Source organism: Homo sapiens, chromosome 20, assembly GCF_000001405.40.
Source record: "Homo sapiens chromosome 20, GRCh38.p14 Primary Assembly".
Taxonomy (NCBI): domain Eukaryota; kingdom Metazoa; phylum Chordata; class Mammalia; order Primates; family Hominidae; genus Homo; species Homo sapiens.
This window is the reverse complement of record NC_000020.11, coordinates 51,679,574-51,697,550: the sequence shown is the minus strand read 5'-3', so window position 1 is coordinate 51,697,550 and position 17,977 is coordinate 51,679,574. Positions and strand designations below refer to the sequence as shown.

General features: G+C 46.3%; 1 protein-coding gene across 1 annotated transcript in view, besides 1 other annotated feature; it reads left to right on the top strand.

Annotated features, from left to right (window-relative positions):
* Positions 1–17,977, top strand: part of ATP9A (ATPase phospholipid transporting 9A (putative)) — a 171,877-nt gene that overhangs the window by 70,840 nt on the left and 83,060 nt on the right. Inside the window, exons 5-9 of the mRNA NM_006045.3 lie at positions 69–127; positions 1,407–1,458; positions 3,449–3,543; positions 6,732–6,812; positions 8,412–8,487. Coding sequence (NP_006036.1) covers positions 69–127; positions 1,407–1,458; positions 3,449–3,543; positions 6,732–6,812; positions 8,412–8,487 — 363 coding nt within the window. The remainder of the gene's footprint in view (positions 1–68; positions 128–1,406; positions 1,459–3,448; positions 3,544–6,731; positions 6,813–8,411; positions 8,488–17,977) is intronic.
* Positions 1,707–2,001: a silencer, noted in NCBI's record as "tiled region #11561; K562 Repressive non-DNase unmatched - State 21:Repr". NCBI's record gives its function as "represses a minimal TATA promoter and a strong SV40 promoter by Sharpr-MPRA in K562 cells {active_cell/tissue: K562}" and the evidence as "EXISTENCE:reporter gene assay evidence [ECO:0000049][PMID:27701403]".

The window sequence follows — 17,977 nt, the reverse complement described above, 5'->3', positions numbered from 1 at the left end:
CTCTGTAAAGACGTGTTGAATTGAAATGAATTAAGATGGTGATGTATCTTGAACCTGCTGCTTTGCAGGCACAGTGAAGGTGAAGAGTTCTAACATCCAAGTTGGAGACCTTATCATCGTTGAAAAGGTGAGCAGAATCTGGAAGCTTGTGTGTGGATACCACTTCATGGGTCCTAATGTGTCATTTGTGTATCTGGTAGACGAAGTGAATGTTGAATTTTGGGATTCTATCCAAAAACTTTGCCTGGGGAGAAAAATCTCTTTCCTGTGAGACAGACAGACAGACACACACACACACAGACACACACACACACAAATATTTTTTCAAGGTTTATATGCGTTGGTTAGCCAGAAATCCTGCTTACAAACACAAGTACAAGTTTTGATTTCCTGTTCGATGTGCTTATTATTTTGGGATAAAAAATATCATAAAGTTTTTCCTAGAAGTCTGCTTACTACATAGACACTTAAAATATTTATCTAATTTACCCTTTGAGCCATTTTAGCTTGCATTTCCTGACCTAACCATTGTGCTTGTCTATTATTTTATGGGGAGCAGGGGTTAAGTGTAACCTGAGAACAGTAAAAAGACCAAAAATACATTTTAAAAAATAGCCGTGTCAGTATGTTTGCTACTTTAGCAAACACTCATGTCTTTTTCTAGTGTGTATATTTGGAAGGTATTGGATTTTGAGGGGTGGCTCTGGAGAGGCTTGGAATAATATTTGATTAGAAAAGGGTTGTGTCTTAACTTGTTTCTGTAGAAATTGAGCTATGCTCTTTTAAAGGGATTAAATCCAAGAACTCAAAGCTGCTTTAAGGTAAAGTGAAACTCTTTTGGGTGGCAGCTCAGAAGAACCACACAACCCCCATCTATGTTATCACATACTTTTCTGTTCATAATTAAATGGGGGCTACTGGCTCCCCACACCCCCCAGTTTTTTTTAGAATGGCTTTTGTTGCTTCTTACTACTTTCCTTCCTTATTAAAATCCACTAAAAGCCAAACATCAAGCTGGTAAGTTGGTAGAAGCAGAAAGCGAGAGAGGAGGGTCTGTCTTGAGTCTCAGCAGACAGCCTGGAAGAGAGCCAGCTGGGGAGGCAGGCTTTTGGGATTTTGGGAGGTAATGGTTGAATGTGCCAGAAAACTAGAAGCTCTCTTTCCAAGATAAGATTTTGATAGGGGATTAGTAAAGTAGCAGCAGTGTGCAAGATTTTTCAGATTCAAAACAAAATAAATCCCCAAATCTGTCTTTGACAAAGGCAGAAACGTAAAAGAGTCTGTGAGTTTCAGTCCCCCCTGCCCCAACCCACCGAGGGGTTGGGGGTGGGGGCGGAAGCCCCCCTCCCCACCGCACAGCACACGGTCATTCATTCACAGTAACAGTCTTTCTTTTCATAACACAGAACCAGCGGGTCCCTGCCGACATGATCTTCCTGAGGACATCAGAAAAAAACGGTAAACATCTGAGATCAATTTGGAAAATAACCATTAACCTTTCAGTGGTAATTTGGCAAAATAATCATTTGAAAATGTCACAAAGTAGATTATCATTTTGGAGCCATGGAGGCAAATCAAAAGCATCTTTTTAAATAGACCGTGCTTTTTAAACAGTGTTGTTGGTGTTTTAAAAGTCAATAGATTGTGATCATTAAAAAATACAGTTTGTGGAACACCGGCTGACTCACAGCTGGTAAAGTCACGCATACAGTGGCTTTGGATTTCCTCTCCCGGCTGTGTTAAGCTCAACCTCAGGAGTTGGGACGAGGAAGTGTCTCTACCATGTAGAAGTAAACAGAAATCCTTTCTCTTCTAAGCTGATACCAGCAGATGTGTCATGATGGGGGCAGTACAGAAACTGGGGAGAGGTGGGCGTCTTTTCTGCCCTTTGTTCATGAGTCAGGGGACCTTGCCTATAGCACCTATTGATTTATTTATTGTAGCCTGAGTTTGTGGGGTGGGAATCTCTGAAGTCTCCTACAAGGCCCTTAACTCCTTGCAGTTGTTCCCTAGGGTGGCAGCTGTCATTGCCTGCCCACCCTATGAGTCTACTAAAATTGCCTTAGTTTTTTTTTTTTTTTTTTCCTTGAGACCGGGTCTTGCTCTGTCGCCCAGGCTGGAGTGTAGTGGTACGATCTCGGCTTACCTCAACCTCTGCCTCCTGGGTTCAAGCCATTCTCCTGCCTCAGCCTCCCGTGCACCACCATGCCCGGCTAATTTTTGTATTTTTAGTAGAGACGGGGTTTCACCGTGTTGGCCAGGCTGGTCTCGAACTCCTGACCTCAAGTGATCCATTGGCCTCCCAAAATGCTGGAATTACAGGTGTGAGCCACCACGCCTGGCCAAAATGGCCTTAGTTTTAATTTTTGTTATTTAAGCTGTTCTGAGGAAATAAGGCTGTTTTTCCCTTATCTGGCATGATCGGAGGTTTTTTGAATACATGAAAAATTTACATTCGTATTCCTTTGAGGATGCTGCAACGTATTTCATTATGAATAGAATTAAAGTACAAGTAAAATTTTATACTAATATGTAATCAGGACAGGAGATAAAAGGCACTAGATTAAAACAGCCTTTGAAAAACTGCAGCTTTGTCTTTAAATTCGTTCTTGTGTCCTATTTAGTGAAAACAGAGCATTATGGAGTAGGGCCCCTGACATGCTCTTTTTTTCTTGAAAAAACAAACAAACAAACCAAAATTATGAGTGTTCTACATTAATAGTTCTCAAAGACTGAACTGCAGTGGCAGTGAATGGGGTATGTTCTGTATCTGATGGAGTATACAGCTGACTACTTGCACGGATCTGTATGTCAGACTGAAAGATACACCTCTGAAATGTGCCAGCCCATAATGACCTAGTGCTTGCCTGGATCGATCAGTCCTGTTCTGAACTCTGCGCACGAATCAGCTCTTTAATTGTCACAACATCTCTACAGGGTCAGTGCTGTTCCTATCTCCACTTTTACACACGAGGAAACTGAGGCTCAGAGAGGATAGGCAACTCTCAGGGCACAAAGCTATTACGTGGCAGAGCCTGGACCTGCACTCAGGTGGTTTGGGTCCTGAGAAGGTGCTGGCGATGCCTGGCCAGACGGCTCGGAATGCTGGTCAACCTGTGCTCGTCCCCGTTCTATCTCCCCATTGAATCTTTACAGCAAGCTTGCGAAGTCTGCGTTTCTCCACGTTTTACAGACACTAAAGCTTGACAAGTCCAAGAAACTAGCTGGGGATCCCACTCAGAGGGAGTGGCGGAGTGAGGATTTGAACTCTGAGCTTTTTGACCCCAGAGCTTATTATGGAAGAAGTAGGAGATAGGATATGTATTTTCTCTTGTGGTCGCTGGCCATTGGTTGGCTGTTTTTACAAGGACCAGAGCAGACGCTGCCCAGAGCTGCCAAGGGAAGGGTGCTTGAGGTGCAGGTGACGGCACCCGACTTCCTTCCACAGGGTCATGCTTCTTGCGGACGGATCAGCTGGATGGGGAGACGGACTGGAAGCTGCGGCTTCCCGTGGCCTGCACGCAGAGGCTCCCCACGGCCGCCGTGAGTAGCTTTCCCTGCAGAAGCCCATGCGGGCAACCTATCTTAGCAGGGTTCTCAAACTCATACCTGGGGGGCCAGGCATGGGATGGCAACTTGTGAAGTGGGGCCAGTAGGGGAGCGTGGGGTCCTGGAGAGCCCCTGGGCCTAGTTGGCTTTCCTGACGTGACCAAAGCAGACCCCGAGTGCAGGGAGTGAGCTCTCCTGCGGGAAGCTAAAAACCATAAGGAGCCTTGCCAAGGGGCCTCACCAAAATTGAAAAGGTAAGCCAGAGCATGCCATTCCTCTGCTCAAAACCTACGAAGGTAGGCCAGGCTCAGCGGCATGCACCTGTAGTCCCCGCTCCTCAAGAGGCTGAGTCGGGAGGATTGCTTAAGCCTGCGGGTTCGAGGCTGCAGTGAGCCATGATTGTGCCTGGGAATAGCAACTGCACTCCAGCCTGGGCAGCATAGTGACACCTGTATCTAATAAAAGTAATAACCATAAAATAAAAAAAAAACAACCCTCCAAAGATTTCTCATCTTACTGAGAATCAGTTCTGCGGTGCTTGCTGTCGTCTTCAGCTCCTTCCCATTTGTCTCTCTGCAGAGGCTCCGACCTCAGTGCCTGGCCCTCTCTCCTCTGCCTACCAGCCTGTCGGGTCTGTCATTCTGTCCCTGGATGTTTACTGTTGCCATTTCCTCCACTGGGAGCCCTCTGATCCCTGGCGAGTCTGCCTGGCAGGGCATCTCCGCACTCCACTGAGCTTTTGCTCACGATTCTCCTTATCGGAGAGGCTCTTTCTGCCCACCTCTCCCTGCATCCCTGCTTCACTCACTTCCAGGCAGCATCCCTGCGGGTGGGTTCTTCCTGTTGTATTCTCTGCCGTATCCCCAGTGTGTATGATGGGGCGCAGGCCCTGGCTGAGAGGATGGCCGCAGTAGTTGGCCATGTGTAACTTAAGTGCCTGGTGAGTGGCATGCCCCACTGTGGTCTGGAAGGATGAAGTGGAACACAGAAGCTTCCCCTGTGCTCACGTCACATGGATCGAAGCCACTCCTTACTGTGTCCCCTGAGGGAGGAGGAAAGTTCCATGTCTTGGCGGGATTGACGTAACAAGAAATGTAGCCACCCTATGAATGATTTTTCATGGATAATAAAAAGTGAAATAACACCATTATTACTGTTAATTTTAAACCAGGAATTTTATTTTATTATTTATTTATTTATGAGACGGAATCTTGCTCTGTCACCCAGGCTGGACTGCAGTGGCATGATCTTGGCTCACTGCAACCTCCACCTCCTGGGTTCAAGCAATTTTCCTGCCTCAGCCTCCTGAGTAGCTGGGATTACAGGCACCCGCCACCACGCCCGGCTAATATTTGTATTTTTAGTAGAGACACGGTTTCACCGTGTTGGCCAGGCTGGTCTCAAACTCCTGGCCTCAATTGATCCACCCACCTCAGCTTCCCAAAGTGCTGGGGTTACAGGCACGAGCCACCACCTCCCAGGGGCTCTCCAGGACCCCACGCTCCCCCTCCAGCCCCACTTCACGTGATGGTGGCTGCTACAAGTCCCCAGGGGCTCCTAGACAGTAGTTAGAAACTCACTGTTCTAACAGTGACTGCTGCTCCCCCTGACTGTGCCTGTCTTACGCCACTTCACATATGCTGCTTTGAAATGTAGTTTTTGCCAAGATCTTTCACTTTTGGGCTTTCTTATCACCTAAGGTTGACTTCTTGTTTGCTTTTTAAAAAATTGTGCTAAAATACACATAACATAAAATCTATCGTCCTAACCGTTTTTAAGTGTACAGTTCAGTGGCATGAAGTACATTGACGTTGTCATGCAGGCATCAGCCGTGTTCATCTTCGGAACTTTTTTCATCTTTCAAAACTGGAACTCTGGACTCATTAAGCAGTAACTACATTCCCCCCTTGGCCCAGCCCCTGGCAAGCATCTTTCTGTTTTCTGTCTCTATGAATTAAACTACCCTAAGTTCCTCCTATAAGTGGAATCACCTAGTTTTTGTCTTTTTGTGACTGGTTTATTTAACTTAGCATAATGTCTTCAAGGTTCATCCGTATTGTAGCCTGTGTCAGAACTTCTTCCTTTTTAAGGCTGAGTAATATTCCATTGTATGGACAGACCACACTTTGTTTATCCATTCATCCACTGATGCTTGTTTGAGTTGCTTCCACTTCCTGGCTATTGTGAATAATGCTGCTACGTACATGGGTGGACAGATGATCACTTCAAGTCCCTGCTTTCATTTCTTTTGGGTATATAGCCGGAGGTGGAATTGCTGGATTATATGGTAGTTTTCTGATTAATTTTTTGAGGAAGTGCTGTTTCCATAGCTGCTGCACCATCTTGCGTTCCCAGCAACAGTGCACAGGGCCTCCACATTCTCCACATCTTCACACTTGTTTTTGTTTTTGTTTTGATAGCAGCCATCCTTACGGGTGGGAGGCGTTCTTACTTTTTTCAGCTCTTCCCAGAGGTTTATACAGAGTAGATGCCCAGTAACCATTTGTTGAATGAGTATTTTCTTTTCTTTTTTGAGACGGAGTCTCGCTCTGTCGCCCAGGCTGGAATGCAGTGGCGCGATCTCAGCTTACTGCAACCTTCACCTCCTGGGTTCAAGCGATTCTCCTGCCTCAGCCTCCTGAGTAGCCGCAATTACAGGCACGCGCCACCATGCCTGGCTAATTTTTTTGTATTTTTAGTAGAGACAGGGCTTCAACATGTTGGCCATGCTGGTCTCAAACTCCTGGCCTCAAGTGATCCGCCCACTTCAGCCTCCCAAAGTGCTGGGATTACAGGCATGAGCCACTGCACCTGGCCTGAATGAGTATTTTCAATGGTACAAACAAGTCTTGCAAGCCAGAATTTAGCAGAGGAGGGTCTGCCACTTTCCAGGGTATTCATAGGTGTGTAGCATCACCCCATCAAGTCTGGAAAGGGCTGAGTAAACAGAGAAACGAGGGTCTTCACTGTAGAGTCTGTCAGGGTGCTTTGAGATACTGTATGCTGCGACTCCTCAACTTACTTAACAGAGGACTTTCCTCTTCTTTCCACCTCCCCTGTAATTTTGAGGGGCCATTTGCTGTGTGTGGGAAATATAGTTGCTTTGGAAACATAGTGGATGCCTCCTGAAGTCTTGCATTGTGAACTGACTTTGACTCCCGAATGTGCCTTCTGTTGAACAGGACCTTCTTCAGATTCGATCGTATGTGTACGCAGAAGAGCCAAATATTGACATTCACAACTTCGTGGGAACTTTTACCCGAGTAAGTGAGCTTCCTTCACATGGGATCCTGTCACCGGGAGTGTGTAAGGGATGAAATGAAGGCCAAGAAGTACTGACAGTTCTTTGTCAGGAAGTTGTTTCATGCCAGGTGGGGACATAAAGAAGGCACCGCCTTGAAAGCCAGCGTATTGTTTCTCAGTAAGGTCGACACAACTGGAATTTTCTTCTGGCCTTGGAACAGCTTAAATGACCTGACAACTTAGAGGAAGCATTTGCTGCAATTCATGTGAACGCTGGCGTCTGAAAGAGTTTTTCTTTCTCTGTCCTTCAGATGGATCTGTGTCCTCTTGTTTTTTTTTGAGATGGAGTCTTGCTCTGTTGCCCAGGCTGGAGTCCAGTGGCACCATCTCGGCTCACTGCAGGCTCCGTCTCCCGGGTTCACGCCATTCTCCTGCCTCAGCCTCCCAAGTAGCTGGGATTACAGGCGCCCGCCACTGCGCCCAGCTAATTTTTTGTATTTTTAGTAGAGACGGGTTTTCACGGTGTTAGCCAGGATGGTCTTGATCCCCTGACCTTGTGATCCGCCCGCCTTGGCCTCCCAAAGTGCTGGGATTACAGGCATGAGCCACTGAGCCTGGCCTTTTTTTTTTTTTTTTTTTTTTTTTTTTTGAGACGGTCTCCTTCTGTCGCCTAGGCTGGAGTGCAGTGGCGCGATCTCGGCTCATTGGAACCTCTGCCTCCCGGGTTCAAGTGATTCTCCTGTCTTAGCTTCCTGAGTAGCTGGGATTCCAGGTGTGCATCACCACGCCTGGCTAATTTTTTGTATTTTTAGTAGAGACGGGGTTTCACCATGTTGGCCAGGCTAGTCTTGAACTCCTGACCTCAGGTGATCCACCCACCTTGATCTCCCAAAGTGCTGGGATTACAGGTGTGAGCCACCACACCTGACTTTGTCCTCTTTTATTCATACAAATCCTATCTGCCATTTTCATAATTTTTAAGCCACTTCCAGACCTTTCAGAAGAGAAATTTAATTTGGATTTAATTTGTTTTAGGAGGCCTGGCGTGGTGGCTCACACCTGTAATCCCAGCATTTTGGGAGGCTGAGGTGAGCGGATCTCCTGAGGTCAGGAGAATTGCTTGAACCTGGGAGGTGGAGGTTGCAGTGGGCCGAGATCGCGCCACTGCACTCCAGCCTGGGTGGCAGAGCGAGACTCCATCTCAAAAAAAAAAAAATTATTTTAGGAATATGGGTCAACAGGTTTCTAGAACCCATATTACATTGTCCACATTCTCTTTCTATAAGCCACAAACAAAGCTGGCCTGCAAACAGCCTGATTGGTTTGCTTTTACGTTTTGATTCTTAACCTCATAAAACATTTTTCAGTGCTAAGAGGCCTGCGCTTCTTAAATCACAGGCCAACTTTTTCACATATTTCTGTGGGAGATGAAAACCCCAAGGGCAGTAGTGGAAGAGCTTGGCCCTCCCCTCATGGTGGAGCCGTCGGCTTCCAAACTGGGCTTCCAGGTTCATCGGGGGGAGCCTGTCTTTCTATCTCCAGCGGACCATGCTAGAAGCAGCCTGTGGATTCTGGGGAAGCTTTGGGGGGTGAACGTGTGTCCGTTTGGTCTTTTCCAGGAAGACAGCGACCCCCCGATCAGCGAGAGCCTGAGCATAGAGAACACGCTGTGGGCTGGCACTGTGGTCGCATCAGGTGAGGCGCCGTTTTGAGGAATGTGGTAGCAATTTGAAAAGGAAAGAAAATCCTTTTGTAATTAGAATAATCATCTGTCAGTTGGAAAAATGAGTGCTCGGTCAAATGGCATTTTCCACTTGTTCCGACACCTCCAGGGAATTAAACTGACATCTAATTGCAGCTCGGACACTTAGAGATGCCTGGAGGAGAAGCCCGCGTGGCCTGTGGACCTTTCTGCAGCGTCCATGCTGGCAGTAGCTCTAATTGCCTGTTCAGATTGACATTCTAATCTGTACCAGAGGGGGAGGCAGCCTGGATGTTCTGGCTGGAGGCTGTGTTTGTAGGGTATGTCGCGCTGGGACTGCCAGCACTGGGGCCCTAGGAAAGGGCATGGGCTTGAGCTGGAGCTTCTGTGTTTAAACACCAAGAGGAAGTGGATATTGGTGCCTTTCTTTTTCTTTTTCTCTTTTTTTTTCTTTTCTCTTTTTTTGAGACAAGGTCTTACACTGTCACCTAGGCTGGAGTACAGTGGCACAATCTTGGCTCACTGTAACCTCCGCCCCCCGGGTTCAAGCGATTCTTGTGTCTCAGTCTCCCAAGTAGCTGGGATTATAGGCCCGCACCACCACGCTGGCTAATTTTTGTATTTTTAGTAGAGATGGGGTTTCACCATGTTGGCCAGGCTGGTCTCAAACTTCTGACCTCAAGTGATCCACCCACCTCAGCCTCCCTAAGTGCTGGGATTACAGATGTGAGCCACTGCACCTGGCCCATTGGTGTCTTTCAGTGCTGGGATGACACTGATCAGGACTGCATGGGCTGAATATGACCCCCGATAGCAGTGGTTAACATCAGCGGCATGCAGCCCATGTGTCAGGCCCTGTGCTGGGTGCTTATGTGTGTTACACACTGCACTTAACCCTCCTAACGGCACCATGAGGGTAGATACTATTATTCATATTATGCTCATTCTGCAGATGACGGAACGGAGGCTGAGTGAGGTTAAGTAACTTGCTCTGAGGTCACACAGCAGGTGAAAGGCAGAGTTGGAACTTGAACCTAGGCATTTTGCTCCAGAAACAGAACTTACTGTGTAGCCATCACTTTTCTTACATTTCGTGATATCATTAACTTAATAGTATAGTTAGTATTATAATTCTACTGCTGGTGACTTTCTGTCTTTACTATTAGATGAATCAATTTTTTCCTCTCTTCAAACATAGTATTCTCCACTCCCCACCATCAAGCCGTTTTACTCTGCTGGTTGCTTCTCTCTTTCATTCATTCATTCATTCATTCATTCATTTTTTTTTTTTTTGAGACAGGGTCTCATTCTGTTGCCCAGGCTGGAGTGCAGGGGTGCAATCATGGCTCACTGCAGCCTCGAACTCCTGGGCTCAAGCAGTCCTCCTGCCTCAGCCTCCCAAACAGCTGGGACTACAAGTGCATGCCACCAGGCCCAGCTAATTTTTAAATACTTTTTTAGAGATGGGGGTCTCACTCTTGCCCAGGCTGGTCTCAAACTCTCAGACTCAAGTGATCCTTCTGCTTCAGCCAAAACGCTGGGATCATAGGTGTAAACCACCTTGCCTTTTCCTTCTTTGTTGCTCTCTAGTACAGTAGTAGACACTCGATTAGGATCCTGTGTGGCAAGGAGAGGGAATGAAGCAGCACAAACTATCCCTGGAGTACCGTGTGTCACCATCCACACATGCACTACTTAATACAAATAGGCAGAGGTGCACTCTCCCTTGAGGTTTTTTCTGCTACATTTTATTTCCACTGCCTGCCTTTATTTTCATCATACTTTGGTACGTCTCTCAGTCCCCCTGATGACTAAAGAGCGAGAAATTCTGCACGGTCATGCCTGGGCCACGCCTGGGCACAGCCACCCAGGGGACGCAGCATGCAGACGTTCACATCCTGCCCCTCCTTGCCACTTTCCACCCATGTCACCTGAACCAATTTTTTCTTGCTTTCAAGTCATTTATTAACAAATAATAATTAATTACTCTTTTTATTCTTTGATAATTTGACTGAAAAATAATTATCTCATTCAGTTTGAATTTCCTAGATTACCTGGCAGGTGGTCATATTTGCATCTGTCTCTTTTGTTTCTTTGTAAGTTACTAGTTGGCTTAAAAAAAAAAAAAAAGAGTCCCTCTGTGGCCCAGGCTGGAGTGCAGTGGTACCATCTTGGCTCGCTGCAACCTCCGCCTCCCAGGTTCACGTGATTCTCCTGCCTCAGCCTCTCCAGTAGCTGGGATTACAGGCATGTGCAACCACCCCTGGCTAATTTTTGTATTTTTAGTAAAGATGGGATTTCACCATGTTGGCCAGGCTGGTCTCGAACTCCTGACCTCAGGTGATCCACCTGCCTCGGCCTCCCAAAGTGCTGGGGTTACAGGCATGAGCCACCGCACCCAGCCTACTGTTTTAATTTTGATTTAATTGCAAATATAGTTGAATGTCTTTCTACCTGTCAGCTAATTCTTAATATTCTGGTCTATCTACTTTCCTTTGTGGTTCTTCTTTTTCTCATTACTTTGTTAGAATGCTTTATAGAGGAAAGAATATCAAACTTTCACTTTTTGTGGGTTATACATATTTTTGCAGTTTTTTGTTTGTTTTTTGTTTTTGTTTGTGATGGGCTTTATTTTCTTTTACCATATAGAAATTTAAAATTTTTTATTGCCTACATTTTCTTTTTTTTTTTAATTATACTTTAAGTTCTAGGGTACATGTGCACAACGTGCAGGTTTGTTACATTTGTATACATGTGCCATGTTGGTGTGCTGCACCCATTAACTCGTCATGTACATTAGGTATATCTCCTAATGCTATCCCTCCCCACTCCCCCACGCCACGACAGGCCCCGGTGTGTGATGTTCCCCACCCTGTGTCCAAGTGTTCTTACTGTTCATTTCCCACCTATGAGTGAGAACATGCCATGTTTGGTTTTCCGTCCTTGCGATAGTTTGCTGAGAATGATGGTTTCCAGCTTCATCCATGTCCCTACAAAGGGCATGAACTCATCCTTTTTTATGGCTGCATAGAATTCTATGCATAGTATTCTATTCGTTTTCTTAATCCAGTCTATCATTGATGGACATTTGGGTTGGTTCCAAGTCTTTGCTATTGTGAATAGTGCCGCAATAAACATACGTGTGCATGTGTCTTTATAGCAGCATGATTTATAATCCTTTGGGTATATACCCAGTAATGGGATGGCTGGGTCAAATGGTATTTCTAGTTCTAGATCCTTGAGGAATCAACACACTGTCTTCCACAATGGTTTAACTAGTTTACAGTCCCACCAACAGTGTAAAAGTGTTCCTGTTTCTGCACATCCTCTCCGTCACCTGCTGTTTCCTGAGTTTTTAATGATCACCATTCTAACTGGTGTGAGATGGTATCTCATTGTGGTTTTGATTTGCATTTCTGTGATGGCCAGTGATGATGAGCATTTTTTCGTGTCTGTTTTTCTTTTCTTTTCTTTTTTCTTTTCTTTTTTTTCTGAGACTGAGTCTTGTTCTTGTTTCCCAGGCTGGAGTGCAGTGTTGTGATCTTGGCTCACTGCAACCTCCACCTTCCCAGGTTGAAGTGATTCTCCTGCCTCAGCCTCCCGAGTAGCTGGGATTATAGGGGCCCGCCAACACGCCCAGCTAACTTTTTTTGGATTTTTAGTAGAGTTGGGGTTTCATCATGTTGTCCAGGCTGGTCTCAAACTCCTGACCTCATGATCCACCCGCCTCAGTCTCTTAAAGTGCTGGGATTACAGGCGTGTGCCTATGTTTTCATAAAAACAGGATGGCTGTTGGAAGGCCATATACATTTTATGTTTCGATTCACCCAGGAAACTTGCCTCTTCTTCTTCATGCTCCTGATAAACTTAACTTACATGTGTATCTAGCCAGCAGTGTGTTTGGCTTTCTAATTTTTGCCCATGTGATAGACATTGAACAAATTTTAGCATATTGATTTGCCTTTAGAAAAATTATTTGTGCAGACATCTTCCTTTATGTTTACTATTTATTTGTATTTTTTTTTTTTTTTTTTTTTTTATTTTTGGAGATGGAGTCTCGCTCAGTGGTCCGGGCTAGAGGTCAGTGGCACAATCTTGGCTCACTGCAAGCTCCGCCTCCTGGGTTCATGCCATTCTCCTGCCTCAGCCTCCCTAGTAGCCGGGACTACAGGCGCCTGCCACTACGCCAGGCTAATTTTTTTGTGTTTTTAGTAGAGACGGGGTTTCACCTTGTTAGCCAGGATGGTCTCGATCTCCTGACCTCGTGACCCACCTGTCTCAGCCTACCAAAGTGCTGGGATTACAGGCGTGAGCCACCGCGCCCAGGCCTGTATTTTCTTTCCTTTTTTTTTTTTTTTTTTGAGACAGAGTCTCACTGTTTCACCCAGGCTGGAGTGCAGCGGTGCGATCTCGGCTCACTGCAAGCTCCGCCTCCCGGGTTCACGCCATTCTCCTGCCTCAGCCTCCCCAGTGGCTGGGACTACAGGTGCCTGGCACCGCGCCTGGCTAATTTTTTGTATTTTTAGTAGAGATGGAGTTTCACCGTGTTAGCCAGGATGGTCTCAATCGCCTGACCTCGTGATCCACCCGCCTCAGCCTCCCAAAGTGCTGGGATTACAGGCATGAGCCACCGCGCCTGGCCGTATTTTCTTAAATATATGTGTGAATGACCACTTTGTGTCCTGTGCCCATTATTTCTGCTTATAGGTTGGTTTTTAAAAAATAATTTGTAAGAATTGTTTATGTCATAAGAATATTAATATTTTATTTGTTGCCTTAATTGCAATGACTGTTTCACTTGGTCTCATTTGTTTTTTGGAACTAAAGTTTGCAGTTTTTATCTAGTCAGACCTGTTGATCTTTTTTCATTTCAAGACAGGGTCTTGATCTGTCACCCAGGTTGTTGTGCAGAGACATGATCAGGGCTCACTGCAGCCTCGACCTCCTGGGTTCAAATGATTCTCCCACCTCAGCCTTCTGAGTAGCTGCGACTATAGGCGCACCTCACCATGCCTGGCTAAGTTTTTGTATTTTTTGTAGAGACAGGGTTTTGCCATGTTGCCCAGGCTGGGATCTTTTGTTTCTTTGTGGTTTCTGTTTTTTGTGTCATGCTAAGAAAATTTTCCCTGCTCTAAAATTATAAAAATATCCACTGACTTTTTTTGGAGTGTTTATATAGTCTTACATTAAAATACTTGCTTTAAGGAATAGAGTTAGGAGAACTAACAGGCAAGGGAATATTACCTCAGGTCAGACTCCAGGCTCCAGACTCTTAGGCCCAGTCTGTGTTTCTGGCCCCGTGTGAACAAGCAGCCTTATGGGGAATGAAAGTGTAAAACGAGGCTGGGTGCAGTAGCTCACACCTGTAATCCTAGCACTTTGGGAGACCAAGGCAGGAGGATTGCTTGAGTCCAGGAGTTTGAGACCAGCCTAGGCAACATAGTGAAAACCCATCTCTACAAAAAATAAAAACATGGCCAGGTGAGGTGGCTCACGCCTATAATCCCAGCACTTTGGGAGGCTGAGGCGGGTGGATCACAATGTCAGGAGATCGAGACCATCCTGGCTAACACGGTGAACCCCGTCTCTACTAAAAATATAAAATAATAATAATAATAATAATAATCAGCTGGGCGTGGTGGTGGGCGCCTGTAATCCCAGCTGCTCAGGAGGCTGAGGCAGGAGAATCGTTTGAACCTGGGAGGTGGAGGTTGCAGTGAGCTGAGATAGCACCACTGCACTCCAGCCTGGGCGACAGAGCGAGACTCCGTCTCAAAAAAAATAAAAACAAACAAACAAACAAACGTCCAGGTGTTGTGTTGTGTGCCTTTGGTCCTAGCTATACAGGAAGCTGAGGTGGGAGGATTGCTTGAGCTTGGAGGTCAAGGCTGCAGTCAGCTGTGATCACCAGTGTACTCCAGTTTGGGTGACAGAGAAAGACGCTGTTTATTATTATTTTTTTTTTGAGACAAAGTTTTGCTCTTGTCCCCACGCTGGAGTGCAATGGTGCGATCTCTGCTCATTGCAACCTCCACCTCCTGGGTTCAAGCGATTCTCCTGCCTCAGCCTTCTGAGTAGCTGGGATTACAGGCATGCACCACCACACCCGGCTAATTTTTTGTATTTTTAGTAAAGATGAGGTTTTACCATGTTGGTCAGGCTGGTCTTGAATGCGGTGACTCAGGCCTGTAATCCCAGCACTTTGGGAGGCCAATGCGGCTGGATCACCTGAGGTCAGGAGTTTGAGATCAGCCTGGCCAACATGGTAAAACCCCGCCTCTACTAAAAATACAAAAAATTAGCCGGGTGTGGTGGTGCGTGCCTGTAATCTCAGTTACTCAGGAGGCTGAGGCAGGAGAATCACTTGAACCTGGGAGGCAGAAGTTGCAGTGAGCCAAGATTGCACCATTGCACCCCAAACCTGGGCCACAAGAGGGAAACTCTGTCTCAAAAAAAAAAAAAAAAAAAAAAAAAAAAAAGATACAGTGAAAAGCAACACACTTTAGAGCAGAGGATGTCTGGGTCAAATGCTTGTCTCTTTGGGTGGAATAAAGAGGCGTTAAAGGCAATGAGAACAAGATGGGGTTAAAGTTGTCATGTCCCGTTGCATCTGGCATAGGCAGGGCTGGAAGTTCATGACTACCTGTCATGTGCTCATCTCCTTACTAGACAGCCACGTGAATAGGACGTACTTCATTTTTTGTGGACGGTTCACCATTCTTCTTTTCTAAGCCTTCTGTGGAAGGATAGTACGTACACAGAAAATCCTAAACATAGTGCTTGGTGGATTTATATTTTTTTCTTTCCAACTTTATTTTAGGTTTGGGGGTACATGTGCAGATTTGCTACACGGGTAAATTGCATGCTGCGGGGGTTTAGTGTACAGATGATATTGTCACCCGGGCAGTAAGCATAGTACCCAATAGGTAGTGTTTTCTGATCCTCACCCTCCTTCCACCCTATGCTTGATGGATTTTAACACAGGTAACACATTTGTGTGACTAGCACCCAGATCAAGAAACAGGATATTATCACCGTCCACCCCCGAAGAAGCTCCCTCCACTCCCTTCTAGCTGCCCCACACCTGCCCAAGGGTAACCACCACCTTGGCTACTGAAAATGTTAGCATTTCAGTAATAAATGCATTTTCATATGCCTGTTTGTTTTTCATCTGGTGATTTTCTTCTCTCCTTCCGTCCTCCTTTTCATGCAGCAAGAGCGCACCTGTTCGGTGCTGAGGTCCGTTGCCGGTCCCAGCACTGTGGTAGTGCCTTAGGAGACAGATGCATGTGCCCACAACATGGGATTTATAGTTTATTAGAAGTTTCGGATGGAGGCTGGGCGCGGTGGCTCACGCCTGTAATCCCAGCACTTTGGGAGGCTGAGGCGAGTGGATCATTTGAGGTCAGGAGTTCGAGACCAGCTTGACCAACATGGTGAAACCCCATCTCTACTAAAAATACAAAAATGAGCTGGGTGTGGTAGCGTGCACCTGTAGTCCCAGTTACTTGGGAGGCTGAGGCAGGAGAATTGCTTGAACCTGGGAGGCGGAGGTTGTAATGAGCCGAAATTGCACCACTGCACTCCAGCCTGGGCGACAAAGTGAGACTCCTCAAAAAAAAAAAAAAAGAAATTTAGGATGGGCTATAGAGGAAATGGGAGAGAGTTTTATGTATTTCCTCCAAAATCAGTAAAAAGGAAAACAGTTGAGCTGAGCTGCAAATGCAGAGAAATCTGAGGTGGAAGGAGCAATGTTGGAAGGGCTTGTCAGTCTTAGTCTCAGAGATGAGCAATACTAATTAAGTCTTCACTTATCACTTACTTTTAATTGATGAAGTGTTTTGCTGCCATTCTCTTAACTTGGTCTCATAACATTACATGAGGACATTTAATGGGATGAGGCACTGAGTCTCAGGTTAAGCAACTTGTTCAAGGTTACATGCCTTGGAGAGGTCATCTCCTGGGAGGAGGAGAGTGGAAGGCATATTGGCATCTTGAAGAAGAAAGATATTTCAGACAGTTCATGGGAGATGCCTTGTGGAGTTAAAGATACATTTTCACTTGTCTGAATTCCTCTCTGTGTGCTCGGTTATTTTGGGGGGAGGGGTGCGGTAGGGGAGGGAGAGCACAGCAGTGATCTGATGGCATTGCCTGCCCTGCCTCTTAGTGGGTGTATGATTTGGAGTCAGTATGAGCAGCTGGGCATTGACTGCTTCCTTAATTGGCCTCAGTTTCCCCTGCATCTCACTGAGTAGACATCTAATTGCCCTCTGATTCTAATGTAAACCCAAGCCATTTCCTTCTAGTTCTCAACGCCAGGAACAGCCAGCAAGAGTCATCTTAATTATGTGAGATTTCACTTCTGTGTTCCCTATAGGCTGTAACTCTTGCCTCTCGGTTAACAGGTCTGCTATTATCTGTTGGAAGTTGAAAAAAAATAAAAAAGCTTGCCAGGCAGTGCTGAGGTCCGTCTGTATCAGCTGGCATTAATCTGTAGAAGATGTGGTTGCCATGGTAGCCAATGCAGGGCTGCAAGGCTGAGGCAGCACAAGAGTGAAGGATAAGGGGAGGGATGGAGGAGGACCAGGAGCTTGGCAGAGAAGGTGGCCTGGATGTTACAGAGCCCAGGTTGAGGAACAGCCACCTCTTAGAAGGTGAGAAGAACTGGTGCTCTAGCCCAGTTCTTCTCAAACTTTTAGTGGAGAGGGACCAGTTTGTTGGGTTTTCCCCTAATGTGTAGAAGATCGATTTGTGGTCCTGCCTCTGTGCATGAGTAATATGCAGCCACACTATGTGCACCTTGCCACAAGTTTTTTTTTTTTTTTTTTTTTAAGACAGTCTCACTGTCGCTCAGGCTGGCGTGCAGTGGTGCGATCTTGGCTCACTGCAACCTCCACCTCCTGGGTTCAAGCTATTCTTCTGCGTCGGCCTCCCCAGTAGCTGGGATTACAGGTGCCCATCACCACGCCTGTATAATTTTTATATTTTTAGTGGAGACGGGATTTCACCATGTTGGCCAGGCTGGTCTCGAACTTCTGACCTCAAGTGATCCACCCGCCTCAGCCTCCCAAAGTGCTGGGAATACAGGCGTGAGCCACCGTGCTCAGCCCACAACAGTTTGATAGTGCCTCCATGGTCTATACCCCATTTGATGAGACGACTACTCTGATCACATGCTCGAATATTGCAGCAATACTTAATTGCTATAAAAATTTCCAAACGCTGATTCTCGGGTTCAGCATTTATTTTGTTGTGGATGAGGAACAAAGGGGTCACAGAATAGCCCTGACCCCAGGCAGCACCACACTGTTCCAGAGAGTCAGTTAGAACTCCGTGAAATGCCTGACCATGACCTCTTGGCCTTTTGGAGAAACCAGATGGACACTGGCTGGGAGAATGGAAAGGGCTGCGTGGCCTGCAGGCTGCAGAGGGTGGGAGTGAAGAGAACCTTGAGAGCAAGGAGGGGCTGCAGAGGTGACAGCA